The sequence below is a fragment of the Homo sapiens genome, chromosome 3 (assembly GCF_000001405.40).
Source record: "Homo sapiens chromosome 3, GRCh38.p14 Primary Assembly".
NCBI lineage: Eukaryota > Metazoa > Chordata > Mammalia > Primates > Hominidae > Homo > Homo sapiens.
Window position 1 is genome coordinate 143,837,860 of NC_000003.12, and position 19,417 is coordinate 143,857,276.

The window sequence follows — 19,417 nt, forward strand, 5'->3', positions numbered from 1 at the left end:
ATGGGCCCGGTTAGGACACCAGGCACTGGCATAGCCACTTCACTGCCAGCCTGATGTTGAAGTCAGCACTGAAGGTAGCAGAACAGAGAAAAGGAAAGAACCTTGGTTTTTGATGACAACAGTAGGTGCTGAATCAAATAGAGTTGAAGACTACTCTTCTCTGGACTTCCAGTTATGGGAGATAATAAATGTCTTTATTGCTTAATTCTGTTTCTGTCAGGGTTTCTGTTACTTGCAACTGAATGCATCTTAACAGATAGAAAAGCCATTGGTTTTCCTGTCACAAAGCAATGTACAAAGTTTTAAGGGACCCTAAAGAAAAGACCAACTAACCCCACTCCCTACAGTATTGGAAAAACTTAATAGAAGAGGTTCTCAAGGATGTGTAAGAGTTCACCAAGTAGAGAAGAGGACATGTTGTTTTAGGGAGAGGTATACAGAAATCAAGGAGCCCAGCGTCAATGACGCACATCAAGCAGTTTGCGATGGGCACTTAGGGCAGTGCAGGCAAAGGGCTTTGGCACAGCAGAGGACTGGAGAGTGTTCAGGAGGGAGAGGGTGTTGGCAAGGTGGTCGGCAAGGTGGTCTCGAGGAAGAATCGAGCGAGTTCCTTGTTGGGAGGCAGATTTGCTCTGTTTTAGAGCAGAGGAAACAGCATTTAGAGATAATTATTTGAAGACAGAAAAGAGAATTGAGGGACAGAGAGGACATGGAGAGGAAGTTAACATCATATTTAGTCTATATTTACATAAGGGACAATTTAGAACATCTGAGTTCAGGAATTCCAAGATGAAAGGAATAACGTTCAAGGAAGAATGTTCTTTACCATCATTAGAACTTTGTACAATGCAAGACTTTAAGGCAGGGAATCTGTGACATTATTATTTCAGTCACTCAGATTAAAAAATTATGAACTAGGGATTCAAATGTGAGCATAAAGAAGAAGGAAATAGTCTGAATAATAATTTAAGGAAACCAAATCAGTGAATAACATTTAACTGTAAGATAGTATTCACAAAGATCAGATTTTAACTGCATCTACAAAATTTTTAACTTTTTATTTGATATTTATCCCTTCCCATTTTATAAAAGTCTCTTTTAGAACATGAATTTAGAGAGATAATATGGGTTTGAACTTCAAATATCTAAATGCATTTCCTAACGTTTTCCCTTTTAGCAATTTAGTTTTGCTCTGAGAATAGTCAGAGATGGAACAAAAAGTAAAAACATGATGTAGTAACAACGTACAATGCCTTCTGTTTTTGGTGGGGGAGTTTGTTCTTTCTCTGTTCTCCCACCAACCTTTTAAATTAAAAAAACTAAGGAAACTATAGGTCTTGCTAAAAAGTCACAATTTATTGCTCCATACTAGCTCACCATCAACTTGTTTTGGTGAAGAGTCCCAGAATGATTTCAGAACAGGTCTGGGACACCTGCCAATTAAGAGAACCTCATTAAATTCCAAAGTGGAAAGTAGTCCATGAAGCTAATTAACCTTGTGATGCCTTGTTCAAAGTTTCCCTCTTCTCACAGGATAGAGTCATATGAAAACTGCCAGAAAGTCCCAAACATCAGATCCTCCATCAGAGTGGGGTGTCTAATGTCCACAATCCATCCTTGGTTCCCAACAAACAACACACATACACACACACACACACACACACACACATCACAAGCGCACACATGCACACACATATAGCACATATGTAAACATACATGCACATACATAGACACAACACACATGCAAGCACATACAAACACAACACATACACATATACACAATGTACACACTTCACAAAACTCTGGGATTTCTAACAGTATAATAGATAACTTTTCTTTAGAAACTATCTCAGCCATCAGCTTATATATAGCTAACATCCTTCCTTGCAATCATCTTAGGAAGTTGACAGAAGAAACATAGAAATAGAGATGTCTAACTAGACGTATACTGAATAAACAAATGGTTTCTTACTTTGTAATGTTTATACAACACACTTTATTTTTTTCTCGAACCAGAGATGGAGACATTACAAAGTGTTATAGACGGTGAAAGAAGGACTCTTTAGTAAAGGGAGATGGTCTTCCAACCCTCCCCCTTTCACCATAGGAGAGTAATGGGATAAGAAAGAAATAAGAGAAAACAGAGGAAATGAAACTAGGCACTATATTTCAAGTTTATTTTCCTAGCAAAGTATTTCTCAAACTTCAGTGCATCAGAACCTCCTGGAAAGTTTGTTAAAACACAGTTTACCGGGCCGCACCCACCCCAGAGTTTCTGATTCCCTAGGTCTGGGCTGTGAACTACATATTTGCATTTCTAACAAGCTGCTGATGGTGCTGGTCAGGAAACACACTGAGAAGCATTGTCATATAAGATAGTAGTTCCTACCAACATAAGTCCTCACAGTCTTGAAATTCCATCAAAACCCATACCATCTTGGGCTCATGCACACAGATTTCAGAACTTGGAAAACCCAGAAGCATAGTTAATGGTTCTACCTTCAGTATCTTCCAAAAATTAAATTCAGTTTAACTAACATATGATGAAAGCCTATTTTGCATGATTCATATAAATTCACAGTCCCTTCTCAAACTATTTATAGTACCTGTCCCACCCATTGTTTCAACCATAGGCATTTAAAACCAGAAAGACCATGAACTTGCAACATGACTATCCCTCAAGCTGGGACAATGTTTCCAGGTAGGCTTGGAATATTTCAACTCCAGCTACTTAATATGGATGTATTTTCATAGTTTTGCCCCCATTCTGTTTCCCACAGTGGGCTTTTTGCTATAGACAGTGGAACATTTCAGAGGCTTCAAGGTAGAGAAGAAACTTAACTACTTTTACCTTCAATCATTCCCTACCCTGACTTCATGGGACAGTTGCATATCAAGAGCAGACTTGGATGAGAGAACGACTGCAGCCAGAATTTGAGAGTGCACGCTTTCAAAAGAGTGTTCTTGCCAATTATTCTGGGCAGAGTTGGTTAAGTCATAAGTTTTCTGAGTTTCTGTTTCCTTATATGCAAACTAAAGATGATCTTGCCTATTTAGCATGGTTGTTGTGAGGATTAGTGATAATGCATATAGTTACATATCTCAATCTCTACCTCTCTTCTGTAAACTTCCTAAGGTACCATCATCTGGCACGGAGCGAACAGTTAATTAAAAAACAGCAATTATTCTAGGACTACATAAGCGATAGAGGTGAAAGAACAGAGGTTATATAGTCCTGAAGTTGAGTACAGCCCTGTTGATTATCAGCAAGTTACCTTCTCTCTCTCAGTGTTGGTTTCCTTATCTGTAATATGAAAATGATAACACACCCCCTACACATACACACACGCACACACACACACAAACACACCTACGTTTAAGATAGCAGATGACCACATGAAGCCAAACTGCTAAGGTTTGAGACCTAGCCCTGGCATTTAGTACATGTGCAACTTCAGGCAAGTTACTTAATGTTTTATTACCTCAGTTTTCCTACCTAAAAAATGGTTGTTGTGAGGATTAAATGCGTTAATATATGTAAAGTGCTTATAATAGCATAGTTTATATCAGGAATGCTATTTGTGTTAGCTATTTTTATTTTTGTATATCAACTTTTTGACATAATAGATGTTTAACAAACATCAGCTCTCCATATCCCCACTTCATTAACTATGTAACATTAATTCAATGTAGATGGTATATGATATCTACATAAATAATTTGAATCATAAATCTATTTTCTTGATATGCACATTCATTAGCCTTTCAAACACTGAGGGGGGAGTCCTTCGAGGCACCACAGTAGTTTGCAGTAAAGTTTCATCTATAGCTTCTTTGAGATTCAGAATATAGTTTATTCATTTATTTAGTTTACTTATCCAAAATATAGAGGCTCTTTTCTTTATTTTTCTTTTTTGATACAGTCTTCCCGTCACCTAGGTTGGAGTGCAGTGGTGCAATCTCGGCTCACTGCAACCTCCGCATCCTGAGTTCAAGCAATTCTCCTGCCTCGGCCTCCCGAGTAGCTCGGATTACAGGCATCCGCCACTATACCTGGCTAATTTTTGTATTTTTTAGTAAAGACAGAGTTTCATCATGTTGGTCAGGCTGCTCTCGAACTCCTGACCTCAGGTGATCCACTTGCCTCGGCCTCCCAAAGTGCTGGGATTACAGGAGTGAGCCATCATGCCTGGCCCGGCTATTTTCTTAAAATCAACTTTTAAAAACATACAGAGTGCAGGCCGGGCGCGGTGGCTCACGCCTGTAATCCCAGCACTTTGGGAGGCTGAGGCAGGCAGATCACGAGGTCAGGAGATCAAGACCATCCTGGCTAACACAGTGAAACCCCATCTCTACTAAAAACACAAAAAAGTTAGCCAGGCGTGGTGGTGGGCGCCTGTAGTCCCAACTACTCAGGAGGCTGAGGCAGGAGAATGGCGTGAACCTGGGAGGCGGAGGTGGCAGTGAGCCGAGATTGTGCCACTGTACTCTAGCCTGGGTGACAGAGCGAGACTCCGTCTCAAAAAAGCAAACAAACAAACAAAAACCCCCAAAAACATAAAAAAACATACAGAGTGCAGTATGACTTTCATTCTTCCATTATTTTCCCTGTCTCTGGCAAATGTATTAACACATGGAAAACATTGTACAACTCTCTGAAGTTCCTTAAAAATCAAGTTTTTTACACCAAAAGGGAGAAGAAGTTTAGTATGCTGGGCTCCTAACCGTGATTACCTTTCCTGCAGATCCCTTAAAATTAAACCAGAGCTACTCTTGTTTTCATAAAAAATGCTTCTGCAAACTGTGGAATACATAGCCAGTCCTCACTATTAACTTGTTCTCCTCACCTTTCTGACAGGAATTCAACAGAATTTACTGAGCACTCCTTGCAAAATCAGAGCAGAAGCAGGAAGTACTAACAGTGCTGAAATAACACTAACTAAAATCTTGTCTGAGAGAACAGACTGGATATCATTATAGGCTGCCATGTTCTGGAAGGAAAGCTTCTGGTTTGGGCTGGAGTGGCTGAAAGATGCCTGATGGTTGAACTCAGTCTTGGCCTGAATTTTGAAGGACTTTTGCAGCTGGAAGGGAGACATGTGATATCTGTTCCTTTCTTCCCCATTTTATAGATGAGAAAAATAAGGCCAGATGTAACATCACTTGCCCAAAATAATGCATCTAGCTACTGAAAAAAAAATCATCAAGATTAAGAAACTTAAATCTCCAGGGGAGCACATCAATATTTTCTCTATAAAAAAAGCCACAGTGGAATAAGTAGAGCCTTGGAAGGACCTTCAGCCAGCGGGAAGGGGGTGAAGTAGTAGGAAGCATCTCCCATAGGCCTGGCAGTCAGGGAGGCTGGGCTGTCCTGGAGGAGGGTAAAATGGATCAGGAGGGTGTAGCCAACATGTCCAACAACCCAATTTAATCCTGAGGAACCTGCAGGGAGTGCTAGGAAGAAATTAATGCCTGCAGAAGATTTTTCAGAAAAGATAATTTTTCAATCCTTGATGATTCACTATGTAACTGTATTTTCTTTAAATCTTGAAAAACTTGGTGTTGAGTGAATTAAATTTGTCCTACTTAACTGTTAAGCACATTCTTAAAGAATCTGAAAACGCTTTAATATGATATAGTTTAATGAATTCAAAATGTAAACTTAGTGCCTTGAAATTTGTTATGTGCCCACTAAACAGTGGCCACAATTTTTACATGAATTCAGACTAACTTCTATGGGAAGGCCAGGAAGTCAAAGGCAGAATTCTAAGAGGTTTAAATTGCTCTGTCCCTAAGCTCAGATCCCAGCCCTCAAATGCACAGGATTATAAATGTCCTGTAAAGTATGGCAGCCCCCAGTGATATATAATGGAATTCTTAATGCTGTCAGGGAGCAAGGAGCAAATTTCTTTTATGAGCACTGAACAGGGGATACAGGCCCTAAGTGAGTGGTACTAAGTGCACCAGCTGCTGTCAATCAATACTTTAACCGCTAATTGTCATTTATGCTTCCAGTCCAATTTAAATGAGTATCATTATGGCTTATATTTTAAACCAGTTATGGATTCTAATCCTTCAATTTTGAAATGAGAACCATCGAATATCATAATAGATTACCCATTACTGTTCCTGGTGAAGCAAAAATATGGTTATAAAGCTGCCACTAATTTTTATAAGCTTCCTATGACCCTTAATAATAAGAAAAACCTATTTTTTATATAATGGATTATTTATACTATTTGGAGTATCATATGAATCTCTGATTGACACAGAGTCTAGCCAAATGCCACACAATTTTTCTTGGTCTCTACAAGTGTTCATATGATATTTTAAGATTAGCAACTTGAAAATTATTTCTAACAAGAAATATAAAAGAACATTAAACATTCTGCTTGATCACTTTTCTCTGCATTTTTTAAACTGCTTGTTTTCTAAGCCCCTGTTCTCTAGAATTTTTAAATTGGACTCTCAGGTACATTGATAAAATAGACTCAACATCTATCGAGTCTTCTAAAGAACATTTGACACATGTCAAAGGAATACTGGCAGAAAAGCAGATGGCAGAATAGGCTGAAGTATTATAGGAAATTTGATGCTGGGGAAAAACATTTATCATTCTTGATACAGGACAAGTAATACATTATACAAATAGTGAGAGCAAGAACAGTACTCGGTGGAGTAGGGGAGTTGCTAGCCAAATTCATTGATAAGCATTAGGTGCAGGTCCACTAAATCTTAAAATATATTTCATTACAAGCATATGTGTCTGTAGCACGGAGATGACTGTTACAGTCTACTCTCAAATGTTCACTTCCTTAAGAACAAGAAATTTTAAAAGTTTAACTTTCTTTCTCTTTCTTTCTTTCTTTCTTTCTTTCTTTCTTTCTTTCTTTCTTTCTTTCTTTCTTTCTTTCTTTCTTTCTTTCTTTCTGACACAGTCTCACTCTGTCACCTAGGCTCGAGTGAAGGCTGGAGTGAAGTGGCACAATCATAGCTCAAAAAGCTTAAGTTTTAAACATAGTTTTGTTTCTTTTCTTCCCCATTAGTTATCACCATGCCCCCCTGCTCTTGCAAAAGCTAAGAGTTTAATCCTTTAATGGAAAGGGGGATAGTACAATGTGGGATGCTGAAAATTCACTCTTTTAGACCTCCTGGAAAAGAGAATCTGGCTAATCCTGAAAGCTTAACCATATGAGGATGCATCTAGATCCCACAGACACATCCTTTCTCCAGGAAAATTATTGCAATAATTTACTTATTTTTAAATATCTTAGCATCTCTTATTAAAGAGATGGAGGTTGAATCCCACCTCAACAGCTAACTAATTACACGACTTTTATCTCTCTAAGTCTTCATTTGTTTGTCTGCAAAATGAGAATGCTGGATTTATGATCTTTAAGGCTCCTTCCCCATCTATGATTCCAAGTTCATTTATAGCTGTTGGACAATTAATTCACTTGGCATCTCCTTTCCCCTATCATTAAAAAGTGTTTACTACAGTATCCCATCATGTTCCTCTGGTGTAGTTTCAGACTATTTTATTACATTACTGATAGAAAGTTCCTAATAAGCATTTAAGATATAACATTTAGGACATCCCTGAAGAAGAAATGTGACAAGTCATGAATGCCACCCATATGGAGTACTTTCAGAAAACACAGGGAGAGTTCTTTCAGGTGAACGTGAACCTTAGTAAGACATGCAGATGAGTGAAAGCACATGGACCAGTCATGAGTGGCTATTCAGTTTTGGAAAGTCCCTTCACTTCTCTGGGATTCAGCTTCTGCCTCTCTAAAATAAAGGGGATAGAGAAGATAACCTCTAAAATTCTTTGACATCCTAACAATTATGATTCTATGCCAAGAAAAAGTTAAACATCACTAAAATATGTCTTTTCATTGATCTATATAGTTCAAGATAACTGAAAGATACTCAAAATTTCTAGTAAGAGAATACATATATATGCATATCTCCATAATTTTTATAATCCTTTTACATTGCACTGGTTCAGAATTTGCTTTCAATAACTTTTACTTTAAAAAACTCATGAAAGAAGAATAGGAATCAGAGAACCCAACTTAATTCCACTCATAAACTTTAAGCCTTTATCTGCCTTAAGAACAGCAATTTAGAGAAATGCTACCTCAATAGCAGTGGTCAATGAACTACTATTTTATTATTTCAAGCACAATTTAAAAATATTTCAGAGAGTTTTGCAGGATTAAAGGTAACCTGGAATTTTTCAGATTCAAAAGTAAGAGTTACTGTATGTATTGTGAATGCAAAACATGACTGAATTTTAGTAGGTTATCAAAACTTTTACGAAAACAATATCCCCACCATTGAACTTGGTAAATGAGTCATAGTTCAATCAAATTCAGGGATGTGAAGAAATCTTTCCCTCTAATAAAGGTTGGCAATCTATTAAATCTGGGTAGTTTTGCTAAAGCACATATGTCCCTTTAATATGATATCAAGAATTACATTGTTTCTGGCTTCTCAGATTCTATTCCATATCCTTGCAGATTACTTATTAGTCAAGTCAAGAGAAAAATTCTGTTCATGATGGAGATAGGCAAATGACAGGAACCTAGGGCTTCACATCTGATGGCATCCCCTCCTTTTTGTTTGGCTATTTCTCTCCCACCTGATTGTGATTTTTTTTTTCTCTTAAATGAGAGTTTTCTTGTGCCCGTTAAGACCCTCAATACTGGCTGGGAATGGTGGCTCATGCCCGTAATGCCAGCATTTTGGGAGGCCAAGGTCAGTGGATCTCTTTAGGCCAGGAGTTGGAGACCAGCCTGGGCAACATAGTGAGACCCTGTCTCCACTAAATTTTAAAAAATAAATAAAACAATACAGCAAAAAAAGGTTTTTTTTTTTTTTGCATTTGGGTTATGTTTTTTTTCTTTTTTTAATTATACTTTAAGTTTTAGGGTACATGTGCACAACGTGCAGGTTAGTTACATATGTATACATGTGCCATGTTGGTGTGCTGCACCCATTAACTCGTCATTTAACATCAGGTATATCTCCTAATGCTGTCCCTCCCCACTCCCAAGCAAAAAATTTTTAAAAGACCCTCAGTACCAAGGAATTTAACTCTGTGCTCTGAATGGATCAGCATATCAGCCTCCTGAGCCTGAAACTTCCGCCTTATAGCTCAAGTATCTCACAGTGGGATCCACTTAAGGCTTAGGATTCCTTAGGTTCTGAAATCACAACTATACACTGTTAATATCAGGACACCACAGGATTAGCATATACAATGTGCATTGATCTGTACCCTGAATCTCAGGCTTAGGAAAGGGTTTCAGGATTTCCAAAATGAGGAAACCCCAAATATAAAAGTATGTTATTTGCTATAAATTATAGCAATGCCTTGCCTGTTGCCATTGTGTTCAAACTTCCTATCCATTATCAGGCTGAGATAAGAGCAGTGAAGTAAACTATTTCATCAGTAACACCAGTAAAAACTGGTGTCTTTCATTTTACTTTAAAAGATGAGAGTACAGACAGATAATCTCTGTCAGACTTTATTAAACTTTCTGAAAGGAATGATACGGTAAGTTGCCCAGAAAGAGCAATACTGCAGGTGTTAAATATTTTTCCACACCTTGGCCTCCAATACATAAATAGGAGATACATAACAAATAACACTAGCAATGATCATTATAAATTAGAACATCTGAAATCAGGCTAAGAAGTAAAAAGTACTGCATAAAGAAACTCTCGTTTATTTATAACTTTTTATTATAAGAAAATAAGACACTGTTCGTATAAATAAAAAGGACTTGGACACAATATTCTCTTAAGAGGGGTGGGGTTAGTTTCTGCAAGTTTTCTTCTTGAAATTAGTTGATATAAGAGGAATTACTCCAGGCATTTTGAAGTGATGTTTTTTCTAGAACTTCGTAATGTTCATCGGTGCAGCCAGTGAGAGAAGGCTGCTCTTTGTGACTGCAGAGCCATCACTTCCCAACATCATTACAAAAACAAACAGCTCGCCCTCGACTCCCCACATGACAATGGACCCGCATCTGTCAACAGACTTGCATTATGTGCCGTGTGAGAACATGACTGTGACATTTGCTCTCGTGACATGGCAAATTTCGGCGGCTTGTCTGTAAAGAGATTAGCATTCGTTACGCTGCAGCACCTTTCATCAAACTAATGACATTTCAATCAGCACATTTTCTCCAGTTTCGGTACTTTGCTATCTGAGCACAAGTCTCTAATTACGCTCAAGCAACAAGTTTCACATCAATCTCACAATTTATGCACTCACCATACACCATTGCTCCTCCAGTTTCATGCAAGAAGCGGAATCGATGATTTTTAAATAACCAGATTGTCAAAATGGTAAGGATGAGCAAAAAATTGAAGACAAGCAGCTCCACCGCTCCCTGATGTTGAAACTGATACTCATCCTTTTCTGACATAACCCTTGACTGTCTCTCCATTCCCCAGTCTTCTTGGGATTCCTTAGATAAAAACCTGGATAAAGGCTATTTTATCAAGATTTGCCTAAGACAGTCTGACTGCCTGAGAATTTCAGAAGAAACACTGCCACTTTAGTTGCTACTTCACAAGCATTCTGCCCTGGCTTAGTATTCAGATGGCTTCTAGTTACAACTTCCTGTTTCTCTCTTAAAGCAGCCCTGTCTCTTTTCAAACTCGAGAGTGTGTGGTTTCATCACTGACTCTTAATGTCTTTAAGTGATTCATCTCATGAAAATATCTTTCATACTGGACAAATCTGCAAGCAATGATGCTAAGATCTTGAATCACGGTCTTATTATTCCAAATAAGTCTTCTTAAGCTGCATAAATATGAACTGTAGATTAATAATAAAAAAGGTAGCCTTACACTAGCAACGTTTTCTAAGTTCAAAAAGCCAATTCCTGACTCAACTTCACCTAAATGCAAGATCTTTCCTCTCTAACCAAGACCTGCCAAAGTGATGGGGATTGATAGCACAGTTATCAATCAGCCTCTGTGCTCTAAATGGATCAGCATATTAGCCTCCTGAAAAGATATTACACTGCTTAGCCTGAAACTTCCGCCTCATAGCTCAAGTATCTCACAATGGGATTCACTTAAGGCATAGGGTTTCTTATAGGGTTTCTTATGCTCTCAAATCATGACTGTACATTGGTTAAGCAAACCTAAAGTGATTTCACAGGATTTTTTTTTTTTTTTTTTAGTTGAGAAGCAAGAAAGGATTTAGTATATGACTCTATTTGGCTTTATATAATTGATAGTTGCAGAGCAGCCTTTAAACTCTAAATCAATTGTTTTTCTTTTAACAAGAGAAAACAATGAAAGCAAAAGACAAATAAAATTCCATCCCCATCTCTACAACTGTACTGTTTGGATACGTTGAGACAAAAAAGAAAAAAAACAAAACACATTACTTCGAAAGAGAAACTCACGCAGCCATCCTCAGCAACGCCACATGCATGGATTTCTCTTTGTAGGGTTCCTGGTCTCGGCATCCAGGACCCACAGAAATCTGCAATAGATCACAACCTCCTCTGTCCTATGGCAAAACAATGTTGCTCACTGAGAAATGGTTCTGCCACCAGAAATGAAAGCTCTGTATTCACAGGATTCTGATCATAAGAGTGATGATTCTTCAGATCATCTTCCATGTGGCAGGTTGCTCCTGTCTGATTTCATATTTTTCTACTTTAAAATAGTTCAAGATAATACCATGGGTTCTGCAGCTTTTTTTTCCTTTTCTTTCTTTTTTCTTAGCAAATATTATGACCTGCTTGCTTTTAACACTTGATCCTATAACACATTTGGGTATATCCTGGGGTTAGCTGATTTTTTTTTTCATTTTACCATATCATTGTAATTTGGGAGTATTAATCACTTATGATCCCCATTTTGACACAATTAATGCTCAATTTATACAATGTGATTTCTTATTGAGTAGGCTGAGCCCAAATGCGTCCTGAAACAATTTTTGTCACTAAAAGCTAAAGGTCAAGCATGTAATATTATTGGGAGCTAACTACCTCCTCAACAAACAGTTTCACCATGAGAGCAAGTCTATCAACCCCTTAATACAAAGCTCTGCTGTTTCAGCATCTTTGCTTTGTGCAACTTTGGAAGCTTATTTCCTCTCTGAGTTTAACTTAGCAGAGGGTATTTATGTGTGCTGCAGATGTTCTTCTGACACGCTACCCTTTTTGGCAGGAATATCTGTGATGACTAATATTCATACTGTTTTGAAACCTATCAGCTAATGCTTGCAAGCATTTCATGGAGCTTTGCTAGCAGGTTCTACCTTTATGATTTTGCAACTCCACAGGTTCAGTCGAGTTGTCAGATATACAAGATAACACAAATTCAGAAACTTCCTGTCCTTTTGTTTTTTGTCATTATTGAATTACTTTGGTTTTCTTTTATCACAATTATTCCATCTGAGTAGAATAAACATTCTCTGGTTGATCCGTGACATCCAGTTTCACTCTTTTAACCAATGAAGCAACTTGACAAAAGATTAATGGCCCATAGAATGTTTTGATTGGCTTACACGTCTTTTTAAAAAGTTTTAGGTTTGATGTCAACACATTCAAATCAGTATATTTAACATTTAAAAAATCATATGGCTTTTTGCAAGAAAAACTTGTAAGATCTGGCACACTGGGCCCTTCTTACATGGCCACAATCTGTTGGGGCTGAGTGGTTGCCTGCTGCATTTGCAACCAGCTTGCCACAAGTCCATTCATCCCTCTTCTTTCATTCATGGTCCCCGTGTGGCCCCTGCAGATGTTTGAATGTATGACCCCTGCTTTATTCCAGGAATGGAGTACATTCACTATTCCATTGTTCATTCCTGATGCTGCTTCACATTGGGGGGAAAAGCTTGAAGAAAAGGGGCTCAGGAAACATCTCCAATTCCTCCATCCAGAAAAGGAATTCAATTCTTCCTATTTTGTGTTTTCTTTTTAGAATATCATTTTTTATTTTGCTGTACCAACGTAAGTGAGAAAATAAAATGGAAACATGTAACAATAGAGAGTCTACTATGGACCAGAAAATATGCCAAGGAATTTAACTTAGTCTAATTTAATGTGCAGAAAATACTCACCCTTCTCCTGGTGAGTAATTTAAGGCTCAGGGAGATTTGGCAACATAGCCAAGGTCACACAGCCAGTAGGAGTTAAATTGCATGTGGGGTGTATTGGCCTTTAGATGGCTTTTCAGCCAGGGTGATCAACTCATCCTAGCTTATCAGGGACTTTCCTGGTTTACTACTGAAAGTTGTGTGTCCCAGGAAACCCCCTCACTCACAGACAAACAAGCAAACTTGGTCACTCTAACAGCCAAAGTTCCTCAAATTCTCAAATCCTGTACTGTCAGTAATCACTATTTTTCATGAGATTCCTGAAGGAGATATTCACACAAGAAACAATATCAGTTAAAAATTACATGCTGTTTTGTGACCTGGTAACCAGGATCATTAGTTCCAGGTTCTCAGATAAAATTGGGATGGACTCAAAACTTAGGCACAAGGACCAAAGAGGAATTCTTGACTGTCCCTAAATCTCAATATTAATACCTGCTGGCTACTGCAAGATGCGACACGCAAGTGAGAAGCAGCAAAGAGAAAGAACAGGATGGCCCAGCCTGTTGCAGTCAGTGTGCCCTGTCTCAGCTTGCCCATCCAGCCACAATGAAAGAAAGAACTGAAGAGTGGAACCTCCCAGGCCAGTGTAACTTTGCATGGTGCGGTAATCTCACCCATTAGTGAATGGGATCCAATCAGCTTTACAGAATCTAACCAATCACTTGAGAGCTCCTCATTCTTGTAAGAGGTCATTGAAGATTGTGGGGTCAGGGTGTCGAGAAGCTAAGTTTGCTTTGGGTAGGGAGACATACTGAGAAGTCCCCTCTCCATCTCCCTGGAGCTCCACAATGCCCAGTCTTAGTTCTCTCTCAGCCCCTAGTGTTAACAGAGAATACTTCAGACAACACAGGCCCTGGGTTATAGGAAAATTCCACCGTCTCATTCATGTGGCCTTTCCCTTGCTATTTATCCCTCTCTGAGACCAGTGAAATGGAAGTTTCATATTTTGCCCCACCCTACTCCAAGCTTCTGAAATGGGCCAGGACAGGACTGTAATTAAGTTTGCTTGAAAGCCACACGATGTCCTCATCCCAAAATTCATCCCCTATCCTATTTTCAAGCTCACCATAGACCTATCTTAGCTGTCCCCACCTGAAAAAAGTCACATGTTAGCATAAGTTGCCCCTAAATTTGAATAATATGGACCCCTCCCATTAGTATATTTCCATAGAGAAATGAAAGTTCAAAAATTTCACGGGTAATTAAATCCCATAGTAAACACTTGGACAATATTAAGCCCACCCCAAATTCACTGTTCAATGCTTGGTTTCTTTCCTTCAGCCTTTACAAAGTCTGGTCTGTGGGATCCAGGGCCATGAACCCAGGATGTGACCCCAACTCCATGTTCTTTCCACTGCTCTTCATTATAGTGGGAAGGTGAGATTAAAAATCACTGAAAACGAGTTAAATTAGAGAATTTGAATCATTTTATTAACAATGCAAGTGTAGAAATGTGTGTGGCATGGATAGGGGATCCTTTCCTTCTTCTACCCAACAAGTGCATTCCAGCCATTCTCTGAGGAGGGAAAAATGGGTGCAGACCTCACTGTTTCCCTCTGTGAACTGTTATCTCTGTGTTGATTCTTGATGCTCAGAAGTCCATCACTCAGTGACGACCAGAGAAAAGGGGAATCTTCTTCCACCTGCACTAGAGGCTATTTGGCTGGCCTTGGCCCACCCAATGCGTACTGGATGTTATTTAGGTATTTTTTTCATTGAAGAGTCCCAAAACTGTATACAGCCAGGTTGAAGCAAATCTGACACAATGCCTGTGATCCAGTCATGTCATCCCTATGTCATCAAAGGGGGGACAATCTTACAGCTGAAGCCTGGGGAATAAGGAGGGTCCCAGATGCAAATCCCTTGATTCCCAACTCAGGCCCTCTTCACCCTGTTTCCTGCAATCCCCTGCTTTTGTCCTCAGCTTTCTGTCCACAGCACATCATCTCTTTTCTTTTAGAAAGGACACCTCTTCAATAGAAATAATAAACTTCAGTCTATAGGTCCCCTCTTCTGTCTTGCACATCTTGGAGGGCCCATCATGAGAAAAAAAATTCACTCACGGGCTTCTTGTTTTATTCAGTCTCTGCTGGTTCTGCATAAGGCAGAGGTAATGCGGGCTCATCACAGTGGCTGGAACCTACTCCTAACCCAAGATAAAGACTTCATGGGTGAAAAGAAGTGAGCTCTGGAGCCAAGGCCAAGAAGGAAAAGATGGAGACATGCTATTCCATGCTGCAACTTGTTTTAGCACAAAATTTCTGAAATAAGAGCTGAGAAAATTCATTTCTTTGATCTCCCATTAAGTGTCCACTTGATAAATTTGCATTCTTCTTAGAATATAACTGCTACTCTGTATCTCACCAAGTAATAATTCTGACCTCACTAGCTAAAAGACACTATGTGTTAAATTATAAAATTTTTGTAAAAACTAACAAAGAAAGGCATCATGCCCCTCACCTCTCCCGGATCTCTACATTTTTCTCTAAAGAGAAAAAGAGACTTAGGAGAGAAGACAAAGCTCCAGACTAGGAGAAGCTGAATACGCTTGGAAATATTTTCTGAAATGAAGTATGTCAAAATCAAGCAGATTTGGATAGTTTCACCCCTTAGTTTTTCCCATATCAATTCAAAATCTAGCCTTTGAGGCAGCCTTTGTTAGAGGGTGTCTCTATGTGAGTTCCCTCAAAGCAGACCTTGAGACAAGGACTTGCAGGTAGTTTATTTAGGAGAGGATCCAAGGAATCCCAAGTGAAGAAGTTTGCACAAAGACTAGAAAATACCATTTTTCAAAAATAAAATTTTAATTTGCATTGAAGCCTCATTCATTCCTCATTTCATTCAATTCTGTATATGGTTTGTGAACTTTGAAACTTTAATAATTTATAGCTATGCTCAAAGCAATCCTTAAGTAGCACCTAAGATGAATTTTATTTACACTTAAGCCAACTAAATTACATAATAAATTCTATGACAAACACTATGGTTCTCTTAGATAAGAAGGTAAATCATGTTCCATGGCCAGCAGAGTTAAAACTACATGTCACCTGTGCAGAGAAAATTCAATTTACTTTGAAATACAATTTTCTGATGTTAACACTATATCTAAAGTAAAAGTTTTAAGTTAAAAGTTTAAAACTACTCTGAGACTCTTTGAAGACTGTGACTTGGTGTATCACACACAAACACATACACTGTGCCCCACCCTATCACCCAAGGTCTTCCTACAAATGAATTTTAAATCAACAACAGGTGGTTACATATTCATTTAAATCCAGACCAACAGGTTTTAATGGATGTCATAGGACAATGTGATTTTATTTCTATAAAAATGTCCTGCGTTACTGTGGGGAAAAAAAATAAATTCACAAAGAAAGATGGAGCATACAATGACAATTTTTTGGTTACATCATATGTAGCTTCAAGAATGTTTCTTTGTTGGCTAGGATAAATATGAATTCACAAATAATGACACTTCTACTATCCAGTCAGAAGCTCCAGTATCTAAGTAACTGACAGTCATTTCTAAACTCTAGGTGTGGAAAAGAACTGTTTCTCAGAATATAATCAGAACCTATAAATCTCAATTAAACCTGTAACAGAAACATTGTGTTCTAGCAGCTGTTGGAGAGGCTCTTCGAGATTCCCAGGTTCCTCAACAAAATCACTAAAAAGACTATGAATTATGAATATTTGCTTACCTTTTGAATCCTTGCTAAAAGGGTAATTTTAAAAGTTTTTCAGCAGGGTATTTGGGCTTCAAAATTGAGGGACTATAAATAACATACAGTTTTTAAATGTTAAAGGAATATTCTTTCTGTAAAAAAAAAAAACAAAAAACAAAAAATGTCTTCCTAGCTTCTTACTTAAGCCATGTCCTTTATGACACTATAATCTTGAGAATTGTTGAAATGGGAAAAAGCAGAACCAATTAATTATCAGGAATTTAAGATTCAAACAGTATTGGATTCCACCAAAATCTACTCTTAAAACTAGATTTATTTCTAAGTGAAAAACAAAATTGTTCTGTTAGAGATTCAATAGCCAAAACCTCAGGCCTTTCCTTTCCACCATGATAACCAAAAGAGAATACACACAAAATAGACAGCTGACAAGAACAGGGTACACCAAGAATGTAAGGCTTTTGGTGAACTTTGTTTGATAATGCGGCTTAGACCAGAGGCTTCCCACATCTCACTTCAAATCTACAGGAAAGCCGAGGACAGCATACTCTGAGACACACTTGCTGGGGTAAAATCTATCTGCACAGTAGAATCTACTTCCAAGTACTCAACCTCTCTATAGAGGGGAAGAAGGGTTGCCTTTTGCAGAGACAGCAGCCAGAAAGAGGATCTTAGGGCTACATCCACCACCCCTCAAGCTTCTGCGCTCATTTTGACTGATCAGATAAAGAGATAAAAGGCTCAACCTTCTCTGCACCTCAGCACAGGAAACTTACTTCTAGTAAGGCATGGCCCAGCCAATGCGGTGCTTGGATCACCCACTGACCATCCCTGATCCAAGGGATTAAGAGTGGGATATGCTTTCTATGACTCTTTCAGGAGGTCAGAAGTGGAGGTAGAAGTTTCCTCCTTCGTGGACCACTGTGGAAATGTAGGGATAGAAGCAGAAGGGCTCCCTGTTTTTTCAGTTTTTTGTGGGGGAGGGGGTTTTGTTTTGTTTTATTTGCTGTTGTCCCAGGATTATTGAAAATATTACAGCATTGCAGACAGCTTCAAAGAGCTCCCCGAGGCATTTTGAAATTTATCTCAACTGTAGGTCGAGTGACCTGCAGGTTGGACAGACTGACAAAGTCCAAAAGCTCCAGCATTTCCTTAGTGTCAGGATCTACTTCAACGGTCTCCTGATCCAGGACTGAGATCTCGGGAACATAATTGTCTCTGTTTTCTCTCTCCTCCTCCTGCAGCTTGATGGAGATACCTCTCACTGGGCCCTTCCGAATCCGCTTCATCAGATGCTTGACATAGCCTACTATCTTGTTGCGGAGCTTCTTGCTGAGGATAATGGCGATCTCGCACACACATTTGTTCGTGTAGAAGTCGTTGCCTAGGCGCGTGCAGTACTTTTCTATGATGACCTGGGTGGCCTTCTTCGTGATTTTGGTACAAATGTGGCCATGTGAGTGAAGGGCTCCCTGTTAACTCTCCCCAGGTCTTTTTTCTTTAAACCTGTTGGAGCAGGGCTGGTCCACTCGGGAGAGCAAGCCTGCATTGTGTCTGAGCAGGTCTGCTCCTGCGTTCATGTGGTTGCGTGTTTTGTATCCTCCTAGGGCTAGTGTGTAAAGTGGCCTAACTGCTGCACTTGAAGGCTGTAGGGAGAATAGGAACTCAGCGAAATTGCCTTAACTTCACCCCACACCAAAGGATTAACATTTCCTCCTATACAATTTTTTTTTAATTGTGTTGACGACAAGTTGTGTTTAACCACGTCAGCAAAAAAGTATGCCATTTAAAAAAATACTCAAAAAATACATTGCGGATACACTATTCAAACACCTGAATTTGAATGTTATTTGATTATTAAATTGTGAGAAAAAGCCCTAAAGTTTGAAATCAAATTCCCCTTCCTTCTGTAAGCTAAATTTGAACTTTTTCTGACTTTGCTTTCTAATTTTGTTGGATTGGGCTCAGTCTCGTGGTGCCAGATTTTCTTCACCAGCTGTGATGTTTGGGGCCATCTCTGGAGCACTAGAATGTCTATAGACTCTTCAGCAACGACAAAGTTGAACGAACCCAACTACAGATTACTCATGCTGAGCCAAAAAACAGGAAGCATGAGCAAATCCCATGCTCCTAGAGCAGCTGTCCTAAACCAGATTTTCTGTCCCTAGTTTTGTAAATAGTACAATTTGGGGAAAGGCAGGAACATGAAGAAATGCAAAGTTATAGATATAATATTTTTTGTTTCAGGCTAACCAATATAGACATCAACAGGGCATTTGGTCCAGAGGTCATTATGAGAGAATTTAAATCCACGTGAGAAATTGCCCATTTATTGTAACATTGAGCTCCCCGCACCAATGGGGAAATCACTTGTATACACTGTCTTGCCAATAGACAGTGGCACTTAAAATACTTTCTTCTAAAATTTTGAAATGTGCCAGCTTGATACTTCTCCAGTTTTATGCAAGGCTTTGCCAGTCCTCTCTGTGTTCATCTAGTGTGTTTAAAGCCTTTTCATTATTTATTGGTGAAATGATATGACACCTGGACCTTTAACATATACCTTCATAAAATCTTATGAGATAAAGTT

General features: G+C 38.7%; 1 protein-coding gene and 1 pseudogene across 4 annotated transcripts in view; both read right to left on the reverse strand.

Moving 5' to 3' along the window:
• Window positions 1-10,609, reverse strand: part of SLC9A9 (solute carrier family 9 member A9) — a 583,247-nt gene extending 572,638 nt beyond the window's left edge. For all 4 annotated transcript variants that reach the window (XM_017006203.2, NM_173653.4, XM_017006202.3 and 1 more), the window contains exon 1: window positions 10,289-10,609. In XM_017006203.2, the coding sequence (XP_016861692.1) occupies window positions 10,289-10,315 (27 nt within the window). In that variant the 5' untranslated portion in view covers window positions 10,316-10,609. The remainder of the gene's footprint in view (window positions 1-10,288) is intronic.
• On the reverse strand, window positions 17,833-18,306 carry RPS17P10 (ribosomal protein S17 pseudogene 10; annotated as a pseudogene).